The sequence below is a fragment of the Homo sapiens genome, chromosome 19, assembly GCF_000001405.40.
Source record: "Homo sapiens chromosome 19, GRCh38.p14 Primary Assembly".
In the NCBI taxonomy this organism is placed as follows: domain Eukaryota; kingdom Metazoa; phylum Chordata; class Mammalia; order Primates; family Hominidae; genus Homo; species Homo sapiens.
Window position 1 is genome coordinate 55,744,861 of NC_000019.10, and position 19,406 is coordinate 55,764,266.

General features: G+C 41.4%; 1 protein-coding gene and 1 long non-coding RNA gene across 3 annotated transcripts; both read left to right on the plus strand.

The window, feature by feature from the left end:
- On the plus strand, window positions 8,752-10,790 carry LOC105372465 (uncharacterized). Its single transcript, XR_936081.2, has 3 exons — window positions 8,752-8,898; window positions 9,360-9,806; window positions 10,445-10,790. It is a non-coding gene; the product is annotated as an uncharacterized LOC105372465 (long non-coding RNA).
- Window positions 10,791-12,433: 1,643 nt separating this feature from the next.
- Window positions 12,434-18,561, plus strand: RFPL4A (ret finger protein like 4A). 2 transcript variants are annotated; one of them, XM_011526915.4, is made up of 4 exons: window positions 12,434-13,128; window positions 13,684-14,315; window positions 16,932-17,226; window positions 17,738-18,561. In XM_011526915.4, exons 2-4 carry the CDS (start codon window positions 14,154-14,156, stop codon window positions 18,313-18,315), a joined length of 1,035 nt encoding a protein of 344 aa, XP_011525217.1. In that variant the 5' UTR covers window positions 12,434-13,128; window positions 13,684-14,153; the 3' UTR covers window positions 18,316-18,561. The 2 variants fall into 2 exon arrangements, with proteins under 2 accessions (XP_011525217.1, NP_001138486.1); NM_001145014.2 differs by lacking the exon at window positions 12,434-13,128 and having other exon boundaries at window positions 14,237-14,315.
- The last annotated feature ends 845 nt before the right edge of the window (window positions 18,562-19,406 follow it).

Below are 19,406 nucleotides of genomic sequence, written 5' to 3' on the forward strand. Positions count from 1 at the left end.
AAAAAAATAAGGAGACAATGCCTTCTGGAAGAGTCCCTTTCTCTCACCCAATTTAGAGTCCGGAAACACAAAAGTTAACAAGTGAAAGTGCCGGGTACACAATCTCTCTGCAAATTTATCTGGTTTTCATTACAGGCCGGGAGCAGTGGCTCTCACCTGTAATCTCAGCACACTGGGAGGTCGAGGCGGGCGGATCACTTGAGGTCAGGACTTTGAGACCAGCCTGGCCAACATGGCGAAACCGCATCTCTACTAGAAGTACAAAAATTAGCCGGGAGTGGTGGCGTGCGCCTGGAGTCCCGGCCACTCGGGAGGCTGAGGCAGGAGAATCGCTTGAACCCAGGAGGCAGAGGTTGTGGTGAGCCGAGGTCGCGCCATTGCACTCCAGCCTGGGTGACAATGCAAAACTCCATCTTAAAACAACAAATAAATAAATAAATAAATGGTTTTCACTACAATGCATCCTTGCCAAAACAAAAGGTCAAGACTTGATCATTTCTGGTGCCCTCTTACCTGTTCCTTATGCACTCCAGACCTTCAGGAAGCACTGAGACTTTAGGGAAATGAAGAAGAAAGAAAGGTCAGGGGGAAGACTTACCCAACCCAGCCCCTGGTCCTCCTGGCTGGAACTCAACAAAGAACAGCGGTGGAAACTTAGAATAAAAGGCCCTGGCTGCTCTGTGACTGGCCACAGAATCTCTCCTTTTCATTGGCTGTCATGGATATTGATGACTAGACCCAGACGGCAATTGTTTAGGTTCTTTTTTAACTCCTCAGGTGTGAATGCTTTTCCCCCAGCTGGATAGTCCGTGCTGCTGTTAATATCATCTCCCTACGTAATATAATATGATCACAGGGCTTCTGCGAACTATCTTCTCCCGACCAATGAGAGCTGGTTTGGAGACTAGTAATGGGAACCACTGTTCTCATAATCTGAGTATCTGACTCCTCCTATGAACTTCCTAAGGAAATCTATTTTGTGCATGTCTCAACTTCCGCTTTAAAAGTTGAGCACTTAAAAAGGAGCATTTGCATGTAAGGAAATCAATGAATATGCTCGAGTAACTGGCTTTGGATGTAAAGGGCAGAAGTCAGAATCTGCAGTTGTCTCCCAAACACCCTGTTACCCTCATCATTGACTCCTGTGCGAATGCTGCCCCCTCTTCACGCTCATCCCCATTATCCCTCCCGCAGCTGCCATTCTTGTCCCCACCCTCTTTAACATTAATTGAATGCTAATGGTGTAAAAGCCCTACAGCTGAGTGCATTTCATGCAAGATCCTTCTCTTCACAGTCCTCGGAAGTAGATAGCATTATTATTCCCATTGTCAAAGATACTTGAGGCCATCAGGGTGGAGGCTAGAGTTGAGAACATTCCTACTTGGTCAGCCCAAATTTTAACCGCTGCATTGTCCTGCCTCCCAGCCATCATTGATCCCAGTGAGGCTTAGGAATGTCTGTGTTGGATCTGTGGGGAGATGTGGCTCAGTTCTGCCTAATGAGACTGAGCTAAGAGACTCAAAGAATCTTTCCTCTCCAGGATCTTGGCCTTTCTTTAACCAGCTACTCACCATCAAAATTCTGACCTGACCTCTTTACCCTGACTGCTTAAACCATCCTTAGCTGGGCCGGGGTGCATCCATTAGAGGGCTGTGTCTTGATCTCCCTTTCTTCAGTTTTTCTGATAGCCACCACAGGATCTGGCATAGAAGGTTAGAAGTGGTTAAGCACTTGAGCTGGAACAGCAACCTCTATTCTAGACTGTTGGTGTGGCTATGGGCAAGTATTTATTAACTTCACTTGTTTTTCCTCTTCTGTGAAATGAAGAGGATGATGATCGTGATGATATTGATGATGATGGTGATGATGGTGATGATGATGATGACGGTGATGGTGAAGATGAAGATTATTATGGTGGTGATGATGGTGATGGTGAAGATGAAGATGATGGTGATGATGATGACGGTGATGGTGAAGATGAAGATTGTGATGATGGTGGTGATGATGATAGTGATGGTGATGATGATGATGGTGATGGTGAAGATGATGATGATGGTGATGGTGAAGATGAAGATAATGATGATGGTGATGATGGTGATGATGGTGATGATGGTGATGATGGGGGGCGGAAAGGGTGGCTGGGCTGTCACTTGGTTTCTCTTTTGTGAATTGCCTGTTCTTTTCCTTAAAGATTTACCTGACTTTATGTATTTTTTTGTGTATATTTATGCAAAATACAATTTGCTGGTTAATATAGAATCATAAATCTTTCTAAAATTTGGGATTTTCTATTTATTGTCTATGGTATTTTAGGGGTAGAGTTGTTTTAAAATGTATTAATGTCTATTTTTATTAATCTTATCATTTGTGGGTGATATAAATACTTCCTGTCCTGAAAGTCAACTATTTCCCTATATTTTCTTTCACACATTAATATCTCTTTTTACATTTTCAATTCACTTATACATAATAAATCTTCATAATGTGATGTAGTGGTTCAGTTTTATCTATTGATACCAATTACTTCAACACATATATTGCATAGCCTATCTTCCCATACCAATTTTCTGGCGCCATCCACTTGTTGTGAAACACCCACCTGTTGCCTTGATCTCTTTCTGTAACTTTTGTTGTACTATATTTGTCTATTTTCTGTTACTGCTACAATATCATACCACTTTACAGATATTGAGTATTGGCCGGGCACAGTAGCTCATGCCTGTAATCCCAGCACTTTGGGAGGCTGAGGCGGGCAGATCACCTGAGGTCAGGAGTTCGAGATGAGCCTGGCCAACATGGAGATACCCCGTCTCTACTAAAAATACAAAAATTAGCCAGGTGTGGTGGCACATGCCTGTAATCCCAGCTACTCAGGAGGCTGAGGTGGAAGAATCTCTTGAACCCCAGAGGTGGAGGTTGCAGTGAGCTGAGATCGCGCTATTGCACTCCAGCCTGGGCAACAAGAGCGAAACTCTGTCTCAAAAAAAAAAATTGAATATTTCTGTATTACGTGGGTTTATAGTAATGTATTTCCATATGCATTTTTATAGTTTTATCCTGCATACTATTTTAATAATATTAAAGTTATTGCACAGTGCCTTTTAGAGTGTTGAGTATCGGGACACACATTCTCACGTTGTGTCACTGATTCTTGCTCATGGGAAATTGTTTCCAAGTGTGTCTTGTAGTTATTTTGAAGCAATGAATAAGGAATATTTTCACTTTGGTGTGACCATATGGCTTCACTTGCAAAAGGTAACCAAAAGTGTTCAATTCTGCTTCTGGTAGGTTCATCCAAGTAGGCCTTGTCTCTCATAAGTGTGAGGGTTAGTGTGTTGGTTTCGTATTTTTTCTTTCACTATCCTTCCATGAAATTTCTGGGACTGCCTTTGGCTTTCAATTCCTAATATTTTAAAATTGCCGAGAAACAATTGTCCTTTGGGGGAAGTAATTGGCTTACTTTCTCTCCTGGCATAGAGGTAAGGATTCTGTTGCTGAATCGCTAGAGTTTCAGCACTTCAAGAATCTCCTGTGAGTGAAGAGTTCAGTTTCTGCATCTCACTTCGCCAGTGTCAACGCTTACACCCGTCCCTGCCTGAGTGTTGAGTCTCTGGGCCTCAAAGGAATCCAACTCATTTCTAACTCTGACCCTCCAACCATGCCCAAAGCTCGTAGTAGCATGGACTTGAGAGGGAACACTCGGAATTCCATTTCACTTTCGTTTACACGTCCTGGAGGTTTCTTTAGTTTTGTTGAAAGTTCACCTTTCATTATTATATTGATGAAATTAGAGTTAATTGTGTTAGACATAATTATGCCAATTATAATGATGGTGAAATTTTTCTTTTAATTTCAGGAAATTCTGCAGGCAGTTATCTCTTTCTCTTTTGGATATATATTAGTTCTTTAATGAATTGCACTATGCCTTATTTCGTTCTGGCTGAAACTGAATTTCCCATCCTGGCTGAATATTATATTAGTTAGACCATGCCTATTAAGAAGTCCATTGGTGTCCGGGCACCGTGGCTCACACTTGTAATCCCAGCAGTTTGAGAGGCCGAGGTGGGTGAATCACCTGAGATCAGGAGTTGGAGACCATCCTGGCCAGCATGGTGAAACCCCATCTCTACTAAAAATACAAAAATTAGCTGGGCGTGTTGGTGGGTGCCCGTAATCCCAGCTGAGGCACGAGAATTGCTTGAACCCAGAAGGCAGAGGTGCCAGTGAGCCGAGATTGTGCCACTGCACTCCAGCCTGGGTGACAGAGTGAGACTCTGTCTTAAAAAAAAAAAAAAGTCTGTTGGCAAAATGTTAGAAGTTGCATCTTATCCACATGTAACAAATATGTAGTTAGAGACCCTTTTGATAAAGCCTATTCACAAGTATTCCCTAAAAGCTCACTCAGAAGATAAAATTGTTTCTTCAGATATATTTTTCTAATTGCAGGAATTTATTTTCAGAAGGCTTTTTTTTTTTTTAGACGGAGTTTCGCTCTGTCGCCCAGGCTGGAGCGCAGTGGCGCGATCTCGGCTCACTGCAAGCTCCGCCTCCCGGGTTCACACCATTCTCCTGCCTCAGCCTCCCAAGTAGCTGGGACTACAGGCGCCCGCCACCACGCCTGGCTAATTTTTTGTATTTTTAGTAGAGATGGGGTTTCACCGTGTCGGCCAGGATGGTCTTGATCTCCTGACCTCGTGATCCACCCGTCTTGGCCTCCCAAAGTGCTGGGATTACAGGCATGAGTCGCCACCCCCGGCCTATTTTCACAAGTTTTTTAAACAAACTGGAAATTCTCTTGAAATGACTTGGAAACTAAACAAGAACCTTTTTGAACATTTTATTTGCCAAAAAGTAGTAACCAAAATAAATGATATTTTAATTTCTTTTTTATTAAAAGATTTTCCGCTAGCTTTATTAAAATATAATTGACGGGTAAAAATTGTACATATTCAATGTGTTTGAAACGATAATTCGATTATACATAGGCATTGTGAAAAGATTACCACAACCACATTAACACGTCATCACAATTACTTAACTTTTTGTGCTTGCGTGGGATAAGAACACTTAAAATCTACTTTCTTCACAAATTGTAAGTAAACTGTACAGTATTATTAAATATGGTCATCTCCTTGTACATCAGGGCTTCAGAATTTATTCATCTTATTATTGAGAGTTTGTACCCATTGACCAGCATCTTTTCATTTCCTCTTCTCCCAGCCCGCCACCTCTGTACTCTCTGCTTCTATGAGTTTAGCTTTTTAAAAAAATATTCCATATACAAGTGAGATCACACAATATTTGCCTTTTTGTATGTGGCTTATTTCACTGAGCACCACGTCCTCCAGACTCATCCATGTTGTCACAAATAGCAGAATTTTCTTGTTTCTTATGGTTGAGTAATATTCAAATGACAGTTTTATAACTTCATCATTTCTTCTACATTTATTAGCTGACGTTTTAATAGAGGGATGAATTTTACTCACTTGTTCGTTTATTTTTTTCTGTCTGATTTTTAAAAATTTTCCTTTAAGTTATTGGGGTACACAGGTGATATTAGGTCACATGAGTAAGTTCTTTGGTGGTGATTGGTGAGATTTTGGTGCACCCATCACTCGAGCAGTATACACGGCACCGTATTTGTTGTATTTTGTCCCTCGCCCCCCTCCCTCTCTTCCCCCCAAGTCCCCAAAGTCCATTTTATCATTCTTATGCCTTTGCATCCTCATAGCTTAGCTCCCACATATCAGTGAGAACATACGATGTTTGGTTTTCCATTCCTGAGTTACTTCACTTAGAATAATAATCTCGAATCTCATCCAGGTTGCTGCAAATGCTGTTAATTCATTCCTTTTTGTGGCTGAGTAGTATTCCACCATATAAATAAAAGTAGAACTACCATTTGATCCCGCAACCCCACTCCTAGGTATCTACCCAGAGGAAAAGAAGTCATTATATGAAAAAGACACTTGTACACACCTGTTTATAGCTGCACCATTCGCCCCTGCAAAATTGTGGAACCAACCCAGATGCCCAGCAATCACGGAATGGATGAAGAAACTGTGGTATATTTCACTTGTTCATTTCACCAGTATTGATTCATTGATTCTCATTTCATTCTCAAGGTTATGTTATTGTAAATATTTAGTTTGGTATTCAAATTGGTCCACATTCGGCAAGTGGGACCCACTTCAATTTCATTTTCATTTCAAGATCCGGTGACACGTCCCCATCACTGATCCTTTTCTTTTTTCTTTCTTTCTTTCTTTTTTTTTTTTTTTTTGAGACAGAGTCTCGCTCTGTCGCCCAGGCTGGAGTGCAGTGGCGCGATCTCTGCTCACTACAAGCTCTGCCTCCCGGGTTCGTGCCATTCTCCTGCCTCAGCCTCCCGAGTAGCTGGGACTACAGGCGCCCGCCAACATGCCCGGCTAATTTTTTTTGTATTTTTAGTACAGACGGGGTTTCACCGTGTTAGCCAGGATGGTCTCGATCTCCTGACCTCGTGATCCGCCCGCCTCGGCCTCCCAAAGTGCTGGGATTACAGGTGTGAGCCATCACTGATCCTTTTCTTATTTTCTGGGACTACAAGATAGTCCAGGTTCCTCTAGTATTTCCCTTGCCCCAGCCCTGATTTAGCTATTTCTTCAAGGGGTCTTGATTTCTCTTAGTGTAGAATAATATTTAAAATTCAAGATCTAGGTACCAGTTCACTGACTTTTGATAAAAATATATGCCCACATACTACCAACCCAGTCAAGATATGAGATGTGTCCACATTCCTAGAAAGTGCGCATTCTTCAACAGTCAATGTCCCTTTCTAATATATGAAAACATGTTTGGTGCCAAAGCTTAAAACTAATAGTCCATAAAACTGTGATTCATCAGTTTATTTTAAAAGCTATTTCTACTGCAGGTTAATAAGAAATACATTACAGAAATGCATTGTTGCTTATGATCCTAACACTGTACGTGCCATTTTGTTCTATTTTTAACTTTAACTTTACAAAATTCTGAAATCTACATACTGTGTTTGTTAAGGACTGGAACGATAGACATAAAATTCAAATGTGACTGTGGATGAATGGATAAAGAAAATGTGGCACATATACACAATGAAATACTATTCAGCCTTTAAAAAGAAGGAAATCCTGTTATTTGTAAGAACACGGATGAACCTGGAGGGTATTCTGGGTTTTTTCATTAGTCTTTCCATTTTTTTTTGTTTTTGTGGGTACAGAGTAGGGGTATATATTTATGGGGTACATGAGATATTTTGGTTCAGGCTTGCCATGTGTAATAATCACATCAAAATGTATAGAGTATCCATCACCTCAAGGATTTATCCCTTGTGTTACAAACAATCCAATTATACTCATTTAGTTTATTTTTATTTGTATTTTAAGACTGTCTCACTCTGTTGCCCAGGCTGGAGTGCAGTGGCACCATCTCAGCTCACCGCAACCTCTGCCTCCTGAATTCAAGCGACTCTCCTGCCTCAGCCTCCTGAGTAGCTGGGATTACAGGTGCACACCACGGTGCCTGGCTAATTTTTGTATTTTTAGTAGAGGCGGGGTTTCACCATGTTGGCCAGGCTGGTCTTGAAGTCCTGACCTCAGGTGATTCTCCTGCCTCAGCCTTCCAAAATGCTGGGATTACAGGTGTGAGCCACCGCGCCCGGCCTCTTTTAGTTATTTTTTAAATGTACATTAAGTTATTTTTTACTATAGTCAACAGGTTGTGCTAGCCAATCCTAAGTCCTATTCTTTCTATTTTTTAATACCAATTAACCATCCCCACTTCCCCGCCAAGTCCCCTCTGCTACGATTCCCAGCCTCTGGTAATCACCCTTCTACTCTGTCTCCATAAGTTCAATTGCTTTAATTTTTAGCTCCCACAGATAAGTGGGAAGTTTGTCTTTCTGTGTCTGGCTTATTTCACTTAACGACTGGAGGACATTATGTTAGATGGAATAAGTCAGGCACAAAAAGACAAATATCCCATGGTCTCACTTATACGTGAAATCTAAAAGAAATTTGATCTCAGAACTAGAGAGTAGAGTAGTGGTTATTAGAGGCTGAGGAAGGTAGGAGAAAGTAAGGAAATAAGAAGAGGTGAGTTAATCAATTGAGGTCAAGAGTTCGAGACCATCCTGGCCAACATGGCGAAACCCCTTCTCTACTAAAAATACAAAAATTAGCCAGACGTGGTGGTGGGCGCCTGTAATCCCAGCTACTCGGGAGGCTGAGGCAGGAGAATCACTTAAACCTGGGAGGTGGAGGTTGTAGTGAGCCGAGATAGCACCACTGCACTCCAGCCTGGGCAACAGAGTGAGACCCTATCTAAAAAAAAAAAAAAATTGACAGAAGGAAGGAATTCATAATAAATGTGGGTTTCCACGTTAAGCAAAAACATTTGTGGTAACCTCTCTATATACCATTAGTAAAACTCTTATTTCTGCCTAAATTAAAATATGATTGGATTAAGAAGGTGTGGCCTGATGTGATTAAGGTGGGAAGAGGTACCCTCTTCAATAAAAGCCTCTTGCCCATGGATGTCACTCCAAAACCAAATTATTTCAGAAGGTTCGAAGCCAAAAAAAAAAAAAAAGCCAAAAAAAAAAAAAGCCACAATGGAAGAAAGGTAAATCCAATTTTATATAATTTACATTTCTACAAAGGGCAGAGAGAGCAAAGTCCAGGGAACTGGGTAATTTATTAATTCAGCAAGTGTTGTGTGAAGCCGTGAAGCCAACTCCATGCCAGGTACAGTGTGTGCACTGAGCCCTCTGCCCTGGCAGGTATTGGCAGGACTTCAATTTCAAAACCCAGGCTGGTGTACTGACAAGGGCCTTCATTTTCTTTAATCAAATCATAGCTTCAAAGACTCTGCAGGACGCTGGTGAGTTGAGTCTCAGCCATTAACTTACTCAATTTCTCAGGTCCCGTTAGTTTTTCCCACAGTCATATTAGACCTGCTGGGGGGGAGTCGGAGGGTCTTTCAGTCTAGACCAGAGCTGTTCATAAGAAATATACTGTGACCCATATATGTAATGATAAATTTTCTAGATACACTAAAGAAAATGGAAGGCAACATGTTGAATTAATTTTAACATCCGAAAGATTTGTCATTTTAAAATGTAACCAATATTAAACAGCTATGAATGACGACCTTTTTCATCCAACATCATCACGATCTAGTGTGTGTTTTACACTCACAGTATGTCTCCATTCAGATAAACTCCATCTCAGCGGGTTGCTAGCCACATGCTGTTGGTGGCCACCATATTGGACAGCCCGGGTCTAGACCCTTTTTACCACTTCAACTCTATGTCGAATAATGAACGATATTCTTCATTCCAGCTAGCATGTGAAATTCAGAAGTCAGCAGCCATGACTCTTCACGTCTGTACCCGTATTGCCTGGTACAAGGGATATCACATAGTAGGTACACAATCCCTAAAGTGAAAGAACCCCAGTTCATTCGTCTCGTGGAATCTCCACGAAGAGGCACATTTTCCCCCCAGGCAGCAGCCACGGCTGAACATTCGTGAGAAGCAAGATGTCTTAACTGTCTGGCCTGTCTCGAGAAACTTGTATTCTTGAGATGTAGATCCATCAGCTGCATCAATTCACTGAAGAGGAAGCCCCAAAGTGGAGGGTGTATGGTGCCCTTTCTGTACCGTGGTCACTCAGAAGAATGAGATCAAGATCAACTGTCAACCGGGGAAGCCAGCTTCCGAGATCAAAGAACTAGAGCCACACCTGAGATCTGTTCTACAGCTGAACCAAGGATGCTGAAGTTCCAAGGTAAAGTATCTGCCCCACCTAGACCCTCCCCACAAAGGGCCTAGGGAAAAACAACTGGGCAAAAGCCTCTTCACCTAATATTAGAAGGATTCTGGCTCCTAACATTGTATGCACCTTTGAGCATCAGTGGTTCTTGCCTCTGAGTATAGAACCACCTGGAGATTTTTAAGGAAATGGAATATTCAGCTCATGCCCTAGCCCTGTGCTGTCCAACAGGGTAGGGACTAGTGGCTCTGGACCACGAGAAACGCAGCTGGTACCTAGTGGAAAGGATGCTATTCTGTACATATCGGGTTCAATGAAATATATTACTGAAGTTAATCTCACCAGGTCTTTTTTATGTTTTTGAATGCAGCTACTAGTACATTTACGAGACATGCGGGTCATGTTATATTTCTTCAGGCAGCACTGGCCTACAACTTGAATATTTGTTAAATTGTCTGAGGATCTTATTAAAATGTGCATTCTGGTACTACACCTCTGGGATCTCCTGAGACTCAGGATTTCTGACAAGAGCCCAGAAATTTCTGACAAGAGCAGCTGATGCTGCTGGTTCCTGAACCATATGTTGTTTTGGGTTTTTTTTTCCCTCCTTTACTAAGTTCTTTTTTTTCTTTTCCTTCCAACTTGTATTTTAGGTTCATGGGGGTACATGTGCAGCTTTGTGACATGATAAACTGCATGCCTCAGGGGTTTGGTGTACAGACAGTTTCATCACCCAGGTAATGAGCACAGTACGTGAGAGGGAGTTTTTTGATTCTCGCCCTCCTCCCACCCTCTACCCTCGAGTTGCCCCCAGTGTCTTTGTTCCCTTCTTTATGTCCATGTGACCTCAATGCTTAGCTCTCACTTCTAAGCGAGAACACGTGATATTTGCTTTCCTGTTCCCGTGTTATTTCACTTAGGACAGTGGCCTCCACCTGGATCCATGTTACTGGAGAAGACATGATTTCATTCTTTGACTGTGTAGTATTGCATGGTGTATATGGGCCACATTTTCTTTATCCAGTCCACCACTCCTGGCCATCTAGGTTGATTCCATGTCTTTCCTAGCGTGGATGGTGTTGTGACAAACATGTACGTGCATGTGTCTTTATAATAGAAAAATAACAATAATCAAAATTTATACATTACATTGGTACAGATTGTTTGATTCTAATTAGATTTTTTTTTCAAGTTGGAGTCTCACTCACTCTGTCGTCCAGGCTGGAGTTCAGCGGCACAATCTCGGCTCACAGCAACCTCTGCTTCCTGGATTCACGTGATTCTCCTGCATCAGCCTCCCAAGTAGCTGGAATTACAGGTGTGTGCCACCATGCCGGGCTAATTTTTGAACGTTTAGTAGAGACGAGGTTTCTCCATGTTGGCGAGGTTGGTGCCGAACTCCTGACCTCAAGTGATTCACCCGCCTCGTCTCCCCAAAATGCTGGGATCACAGGCAAGACCCGCCGTGCCTAGCCTTGAATTAGATTTTAATAACATTTGTAAAAACAAAAAGAATTGAAAAACTTCTGCCGAACCTCTGTAGTGAGTTTTCACTTCAGTTATTTTACTTTATGCCCCTCAATTTCTAATTAGTTCATTTTTAAAATTTCTATTTGGTTATTGATATTTTCTATTTTGTGAGGTGTTACTCTTCTAATTTACTTCAGTTCTTTGCCTGTTGTTTCCTTTAGTTCTTTTGGTCCTCCTTCGACAAGTAATTTAGTCTGCAGAGAGGAAGCCCAAGGTCTTGAGCACATTTATTTCATCTTGTGACTTGTAGACATTCGGTTCTCTTTGTGTGCCTCATATATTTTTTGTTGAAAATTGGAAGTTTTCTGTGGCAGACGCAGATCAGATTCTCAAAGTTCACAGGTTTTTTTTTTTGTTTTGTTATACTTGCGGGCTGTAGTTTTCTGTTTTTGTTTTGTTTTGTTTGGACTTAATGAAACTATTTTGCAAAAATTCTGTTTTTTCTCCTCTGTGTTCTCAGCTCATCCTGACTGACACTTCTCCTCACAGAACTTGGTAACCAGACGACCCACATGAGTGCTTCCTTATATCCTGGGCAAAACACAGAACCTAAGGAATCTTGAAGAAAAAAATTCAGAGCCACGGTTGAGCAATAACATGCCCTGCCTGGTTCTGAGCCACCTCATCCATGCCCCGGCTGGACTGACAGTGGGGCCACGTGCTGGGCAGTGGCTCAGGGTGGGACCACAATGTCCTGGTTCACCTCAAATCCGTTTGCCGTACCAACACTGACAATGAGAGAAAGGAAGACAGTTTCCTTTGGAAACTGAGCCAAGCCCTGGGTTGTCAGAAACTCTGAGCTTCTCTTCATTGTTAAAGAAGAAAATGTGGCACATCTACACCATGGAATACTATGCAGCCATAAAAAAGGATGACTTCATGCCCTTTGTAGGCACATGGATGAAGCTGGAAACAATGATTCTCAGCAAACTATCAGAAGATTGGAAAACCAAACACCACATGTTCTCACTCATAAGTGGGAGATGAACAATGAGAACACATGGGCACAGGGAGAGGAACATCACATACTGGGACCTGTCGGGGGGCGGGGGGTTAGGGGAGGGATAACATTAGGGAGAAATATCTAATGCAGGTGACGGGTTGACGGGTGCAGCAAGCCCACATGGCACATCTATACCTATGTACCAAACCTGCACGTTCTGCACATGTACCCCAGAACTTAAAGTATAATTAAAAAAAAAAAGAAAAGTTTGCTTGTACAGTGAACAGGGCCTGGGGATCGGAAGCCACCGAAGCCAACCATTTACGTCAGCTTCTGTGACACGCCTGCAGGGACGGGGCATGGAGAATACAGACCTCGCTGACTGGGATGTTGAAGGACAGGTTTTTATTCAAACACAGAAGACCCCTAAAGTACTGAACTGTACATGAGAGTGGGCAAGGAAACTTTACCACTGTCTGAATAGAAGCCAGCGGAGCTGCTTTCTGTGAAAAGATGCAATTGGAAAAGATGTGGAAAGTATCTAACACCCAAACCAACCCCACCAGTGTGCCAGCAATCCTAAGACGCTATTCTCTAATTCTGAACGGAAGAACTCCTCTCCCAAGACATGAGCATGAATGCAATTCCAGGCTGTAAGATATTTTGGGAGACTATTAGAGAGGCAAATCAACCCACTGGGCTTGGTGCTTTCCACAACTGAGGCCACCTGGTATTCCCAAAGAGAACAGAAATTTCGTTCAAGCTTTACGGGAAGCAGATAAAAATTAAAAGATGTGAGGGATCAGTGCTCCAGGAACATGGGCCCATAAAATTACAAGCTGGAGAATAACTGCTCCCAGAAATGTGAGTATATTTTAAAAGGATTTATATGAGAAAATAAAGCAATTAGAATTATGCAAGAAGAGATAAGCATTTTCTCCCTGCATGCATATGTGTAGATACGGTATGTGTGTATACATGGACATACATGTGGCAGATTATATTATAGGTCCCAATCAATGAAGAAATGCAATGTGCAAGGATTTCATCTAATATATGCACCACAACGTAGAGATTTGTGTTTCTCCATTTGCCTTCATGAGACAAAAGGAATTGAGAACTGCCTTGGCTTTGAATAGGAAAGAAGAGAATCTAGCAATCACTAGAGAATGATTACTGTGGAGATGATTAAATTAAAGACTATTAATTTAATCACATTAATGTAATCAAATCCTTTCCCACCTGACCTCCAGTCTCCCACTTTTACATTCTTATCCATGAACTCTGATCACCTATAATATATTTAATACATGAGGAACCCGTTTTTGAACATTTTTAAAGAGGAAATGAATCTCATTTTACTTATGTTGTGATGTAAGGGAAATAGATTGTAACAGTAACGTTTAACTTTCATTTTAGATGCTGCAACTACAAAGAAAAACGGACTTTCACTGGCTGACTGATTGTCTGGAAACCGTTTTGGGATTTCTTTCCTAAGCTTCTTAATTAGAATCTTTACATTATAGAGAAAATGATTTTGAGAGTTGAGTGTGGTCTGTGGAGTGTCCTATTAGTAACGACTTCTGAGTAGGTTTAAGTCACCTCTTTTATTGAAATGTGAAAAGGTGTGACATTTATAATAGAAAACTCTTTGAAAGTCGCACCGTTCATTTTAGAGGAATTTTAAATGTCACCCCAAATTTTACGATTTTAATTAATTTTAATTAATTTCCAAATTTTAACCAATAGGCATAATATTCAAGATCTTATCTAAAAATTATTACATGGCAATATTTTGTCCTTGTTAATTAAAAAATAACACTGAAAACACAGTCGTCTTCCTTTAAGGTAAAAACCTGTCCAATAGTAACAATCTCAATGATGGCAGAATGAAATCAGAATCTGATTGGATTAAAAAGGAGGGAAAGGGTGTGGCTAAGGTGGGTGGAGACACCCTCTGGTATAAAAGCCCCTGGCAGGCAGCTCTCACTCCAGATCTGAGCTGTCCGCAGAAGCAGCTGGAGGCCAGGGGAGAAACTCCAGAAGGAGAGGTGAGTTCAATCTTATGGAATTCATTTTTACAAAAGGCGTATGAGAGTCTAGGGGAATGCAATAATGTCTTGATTCCACAAGTGTTGTCTGAGGCCAAGGCCATGACAGACACACTGTATTTCTGGAGGATAAGGGGACCTCTTCCCTGGTAACAGTTAGGTAAGTCTTAGATTTTCAATACCAAGGCGAGAGACTTGACAATCTCCATTTGCTTGAATTTCGTGAGAATTTGGTAGACTTTCTGAAATGATGGACAGAGGTTCGGTGGCTGCGTTACTCAACGTCAGGTTTTCCTATGGGTTTGGTATTGTTTTCCTATTCTCCCCTTCCCACAACCCCTGGCAACCATCATTCTTCTCTTATTTTCTGATTTTTTTTTTGTTCAGTTTTTTGTTCCTTTTAATTCAGAAAGAGAAAGGGAAGGAAATGAAAAGCAAAGTTTGTTTACATTACTATTGCGGAAAAGATCTGGCCAGATGCTGGGACCCACCTCTTCCAGGATGGGGATTCATTATTTCTTTAATTGTTTTGAGACAGGGTCTCGCTCTGTCTGCCAGGCTGGAGTGCAGTGGCTATTTTCTGATTCTATGAGATCAGTCAACTCAGATTCCACATAACTGAGATCATACAGTGTTTACTTCCCTCAGCCTCACTTATTTCACTTCCCATCATGCCCTCGGCCTTCATCCACATTGGTGCAATGCCAGAATTGCCTTCTTTTTTATGGTAGAATAATCCAATGTATATACCACCATTTCCTCATCCATGTTTCTCTCATAGACTCTGGGGTTGTTTCCATGGCTCTTGTGAATAACGCTGCAGAGAACCTAAGAGTGCAGATGTCTCTTTGACATGCTGACTTCTTTCTTTCACGTAGAAACACGGAAGTAGGGTTGCTGGAACACAGGCAGTTCTATCCTTCATGTTTTCAGAAACCTCCCTACTATTTTCTGTAGTGGTTGTACCATTTTCTTTCCCACCAACCGTGCACAAGGGTTCCCCTTTCTCCACATCCTTACCAACACTTGTCTTTTGTCTTTTTGATCATAGCCATCCTAGCAGAGAGGGGTTAATATCTCATCGCGGTTTTGTTGCTGGAGGGCTCAGGAGGCTCTCTGGATGCCAGAGAGACCCCAGTCCCAGCCAGTTTCCAGGTTCTGGATGCTGTCGGGAGAACGAATTCAGGGATGAGCCAGAATGAAGTGAAAGGCAAGAAGTTTTTATTCCAGAGCAAAAGCACACTGTTAGGAGAGAAGTGTGGGCGTGATTCTGAAAGCTGGTGGCTTTCGATGGCCTTCGGGGTTTCTATTTTTGTCAGTCCTTCTAATTAGGAGGTGAACTAATCATTAGGTTTTCTAGGAAAAAGCAGAGATTTTTTAGAATTGGTGAGGTACCCATTTTTGTACTACATATGGGCATGCTGGGGTCAGCCGTGACACTGCAGAATGTGTGATTTAGTGTGATAATGACCACGGTCATTACTGTGGCAATGCTTTGAAACAGCTTAACTCCCTCCGGTTTTTTATCACCTCATGAGCCCAGGTTCCTCCTTGTCCTTGTAATTTTAATGACAAGTGGCTAATTTTAACAGCCACTGTTTTGGTCCTATGTGAAAATGTCACTGGATACGTTCTCGATTCTCTTGTGACCACACAGTATTCCTGCCTCAGTTTAAATTGCATTTCTCTGATGGTGAGTGAGGTTGAGCTTGTTCCTCAGTACTTGCTGGTCGTTGGTGTGTGCTTTTCAGAGAAATATCTATTCAGGATTCTGCCCATTGGAATTTGGATTATTTTGGCTTTTTTTTCTTTTTGCTACAGCCTTGAAAATATTCCTTATATATTTTGGATATTAATCCATTGTCATATATATGGCTGCTTGTTTGTTTTTCATTAGTTCTGGTTTTTCCTTTTTTTTTTTTTTTCCGCTATGCAGAAGATTCAGTTTTACCTGGTACGACTTATTTGTATTTTGTGTCTTGTCCTTTTGTTGCACTATCAGGGTTTTCACCACATGCAGTTTGCACAGTTGGGGAAGTAGAAGGTCTTCAAATGGACTCCAGCACTGTCCAATAGAAACATAAGATAACCCATATATGTAATGGTAAATTCAGTTTCTGGTAGTCACATAAAATAGAACAAAACAAGCCTAATGAATTTTAACTCAAAATATAATATCGTTTAACATGTGAGCAACTTTAAACGTTCTCAAGCAGATAGTTTACGTTCTCTTTTCCCCATTATGTCTTCAAAAATAAGAGCGTATTTGGCTCACAGCACATCTCCATTCAGATACACCCCATTTCAGGTCTCAATAGCCATTTGTCACTGGTGGCTACCATATGAAACAGTTCAGGTGTAGACTCCTTTACTATTTCAACTCAAAGTCTTTCGGTGAATCATGCCCTTTATTCCAATGAGTATTACAGATATTAGAAGTTCAGGGCCTCGAGTCATTGACATTTGTATTCATGTTGTGTCTTCGTCACTAGCAGTAGTGATTTTAAGTGTCGTGCTATGATAGCTCCATGCATGTAAAGATAAAAGCCCCAAACACTATCAGCTGTTCATTCAGCTCGTGGAAATTCTAATTCTGTGTTCATTTTTTTTCTATAGACATTTGCCATGGCTGAGCACTTCAAACAGATCATTAGATGTCCTGTCTGTCTAAAAGATCTTGAAGAAGCCGTGCAACTGAAATGTGGATATGCCTGCTGCCTCCAGTGCCTCAATTCACTCCAGAAGGAGCCCGATGGGGAAGGTTTACTGTGCCGTTTCTGCTCTGTGGTCTCTCAGAAGGATGACATCAAGCCCAAGTACAAGCTGAGGGCGCTGGTTTCCATCATCAAGGAACTAGAGCCCAAGCTGAAATCTGTTCTAACAATGAACCCAAGGATGAGGAAGTTTCAAGGTAAGGAATCTATAGGACCTGCCACAACCCATAAAAGGCACTGGGAAAATGTCTTTCAAACATTTCTTCATTAAACATAGGCATTAGCAGGATATCTAGCATCTAAAACTTCCATGCTTCACAAACAACAGCAGTTCTCACCTTTGCGTAGAGATTTTCATGGAATCTGTGCAAGTTTGTAGAATACTTTGGAGAGCAAGCTCCTGTCTTCTTTCTTGTATCATATGTGCTAAATGGAAAGCTAATTTTCATCAAATTATCCACTAACTTATTTCGAAAGGCATTTCTAATATGAATAAGGTGGACTTGTTACAATGATCATATTCATGCAACCTATAGATACAATTTAACCTCATCAGGTGGCCAAACAAGTTTCCCCAGGAAATTTTGATTTGGGAAAGAAAGTAGAATAAAAGTAAAAGTGAATAATGTGTTTAAGTGTTTGCAGTCAAAGGGCAGAGGGAGTCTGTAGTGTGTGTCTTTGCTGAACTCCTGGTTCTTCTTTGCACAGTGGATATGACGTTCGATGTGGACACAGCCAACAACTATCTCATCATTTCTGAAGACCTGAGGAGTTTCCGAAGTGGGGATTTGAGCCAGAATAGGAAGGAGCAAGCTGAGAGGTTCGACACTGCCCTGTGCGTCCTGGGCACCCCTCGCTTCACTTCCGGCCGCCATTACTGGGAGGTGGACGTGGGCACCAGCCAAGTGTGGGATGTGGGCGTGTGCAAGGAATCTGTGAACCGACAGGGGAAGATTGTGCTTTCTTCAGAACACGGCTTCTTGACTGTGGGTTGCAGAGAAGGAAAGGTCTTTGCTGCCAGCACTGTGCCTATGACTCCTCTCTGGGTGAGTCCCCAGTTGCACAGAGTGGGGATTTTCCTGGATGTAGGTATGAGGTCCATTGCCTTTTACAATGTTAGTGATGGGTGCCATATCTACACATTCATCGAGATTCCTGTTTGCGAGCCCTGGCGTCCATTTTTTGCTCATAAACGTGGAAGTCAAGATGATCAGAGCATCCTGAGTATCTGTTCTGTGATCAATCCATCCGCTGCCAGTGCCCCAGTTTCTTCTGAGGGAAAGTAAATAAACATTTGAACATAATCATCTTTAGGAAGTTTCAGTGCTCCCATAGCCATAGCTAAGAACTTTTCCGCTAGATACACATAGGTACAAAGGGACAGAAGGGAAAGAGCCATCACTCTGTAAACCATGAACAGAAAGCAATTATATTAATGAGGGGAAAATTACATTGTACTTAAAGTTTGTCATGTTGTTTTCTTTGGGGCTTATGTTTATATTTCTGTTCAATAAATATTTTGAAAATTCAGATTCATTTGCCAATCTTTTCTATTTTCTGCAAGATTAGTTTACTATGTGTTATGGAAGTTATGAACGAAATAATAATTTGAATGTGACCCAACACAGTAACTGAATTTCAAATGATAAGGACCTATGAATACGGCAAAATTATATATGTTCATGTATTCAGTTTAACCCAATAACTGAACACTGACATTCATTTCAAGTGCACACTGAGTGTTTGCCACGAATATGTGTGGTCTTAGAGAGAACTCGTTAGCTTTAAAATTGAAATACAATACACCCTCTCCTATGACGGCAACAGAGTCAAATTGGAAATCAATAACAGGAAGAAATCCATAAATTCTCCACATATATGCAAATTAAATAACCACTTCTAAATAAAATGATCAAATATGAAATTACAATGGAAATTACAGCTATCCTGAGTTGAATGAAAAGCACACATTTACAAAATTTCTAGATGCGGTTGAAGCTCAGTGAGAAACTCATAATAGGAAGAAAATATCGTAATCAATCACCTTAATTTCTACTTGAACTTACTTCACTAAGAGCAATTCAATTGTCAGCATTTTGATCAAAACCATCTGACAAGTATCTGGGAAGTTCCAGACATTCTCACATCTTCCTGTCTTCTTCTGAGCCCTGCAAACGGTTGCAACCTCTGCCCGTTACCCAGTTCCAAAGTCGCTTCCACATTTTCAGGTACCATAGTAGCAGTGCCTCACTCCTGGTACCAATATTCTGTAACAGTTCATTCTCACACTGCTCTAAAGAACTACCGGAGACTGGGTAATTTATGAAGAAAAGAGGTTTCATTAATTTATAGTTCTGCAGGTCGCACGGGGAACATC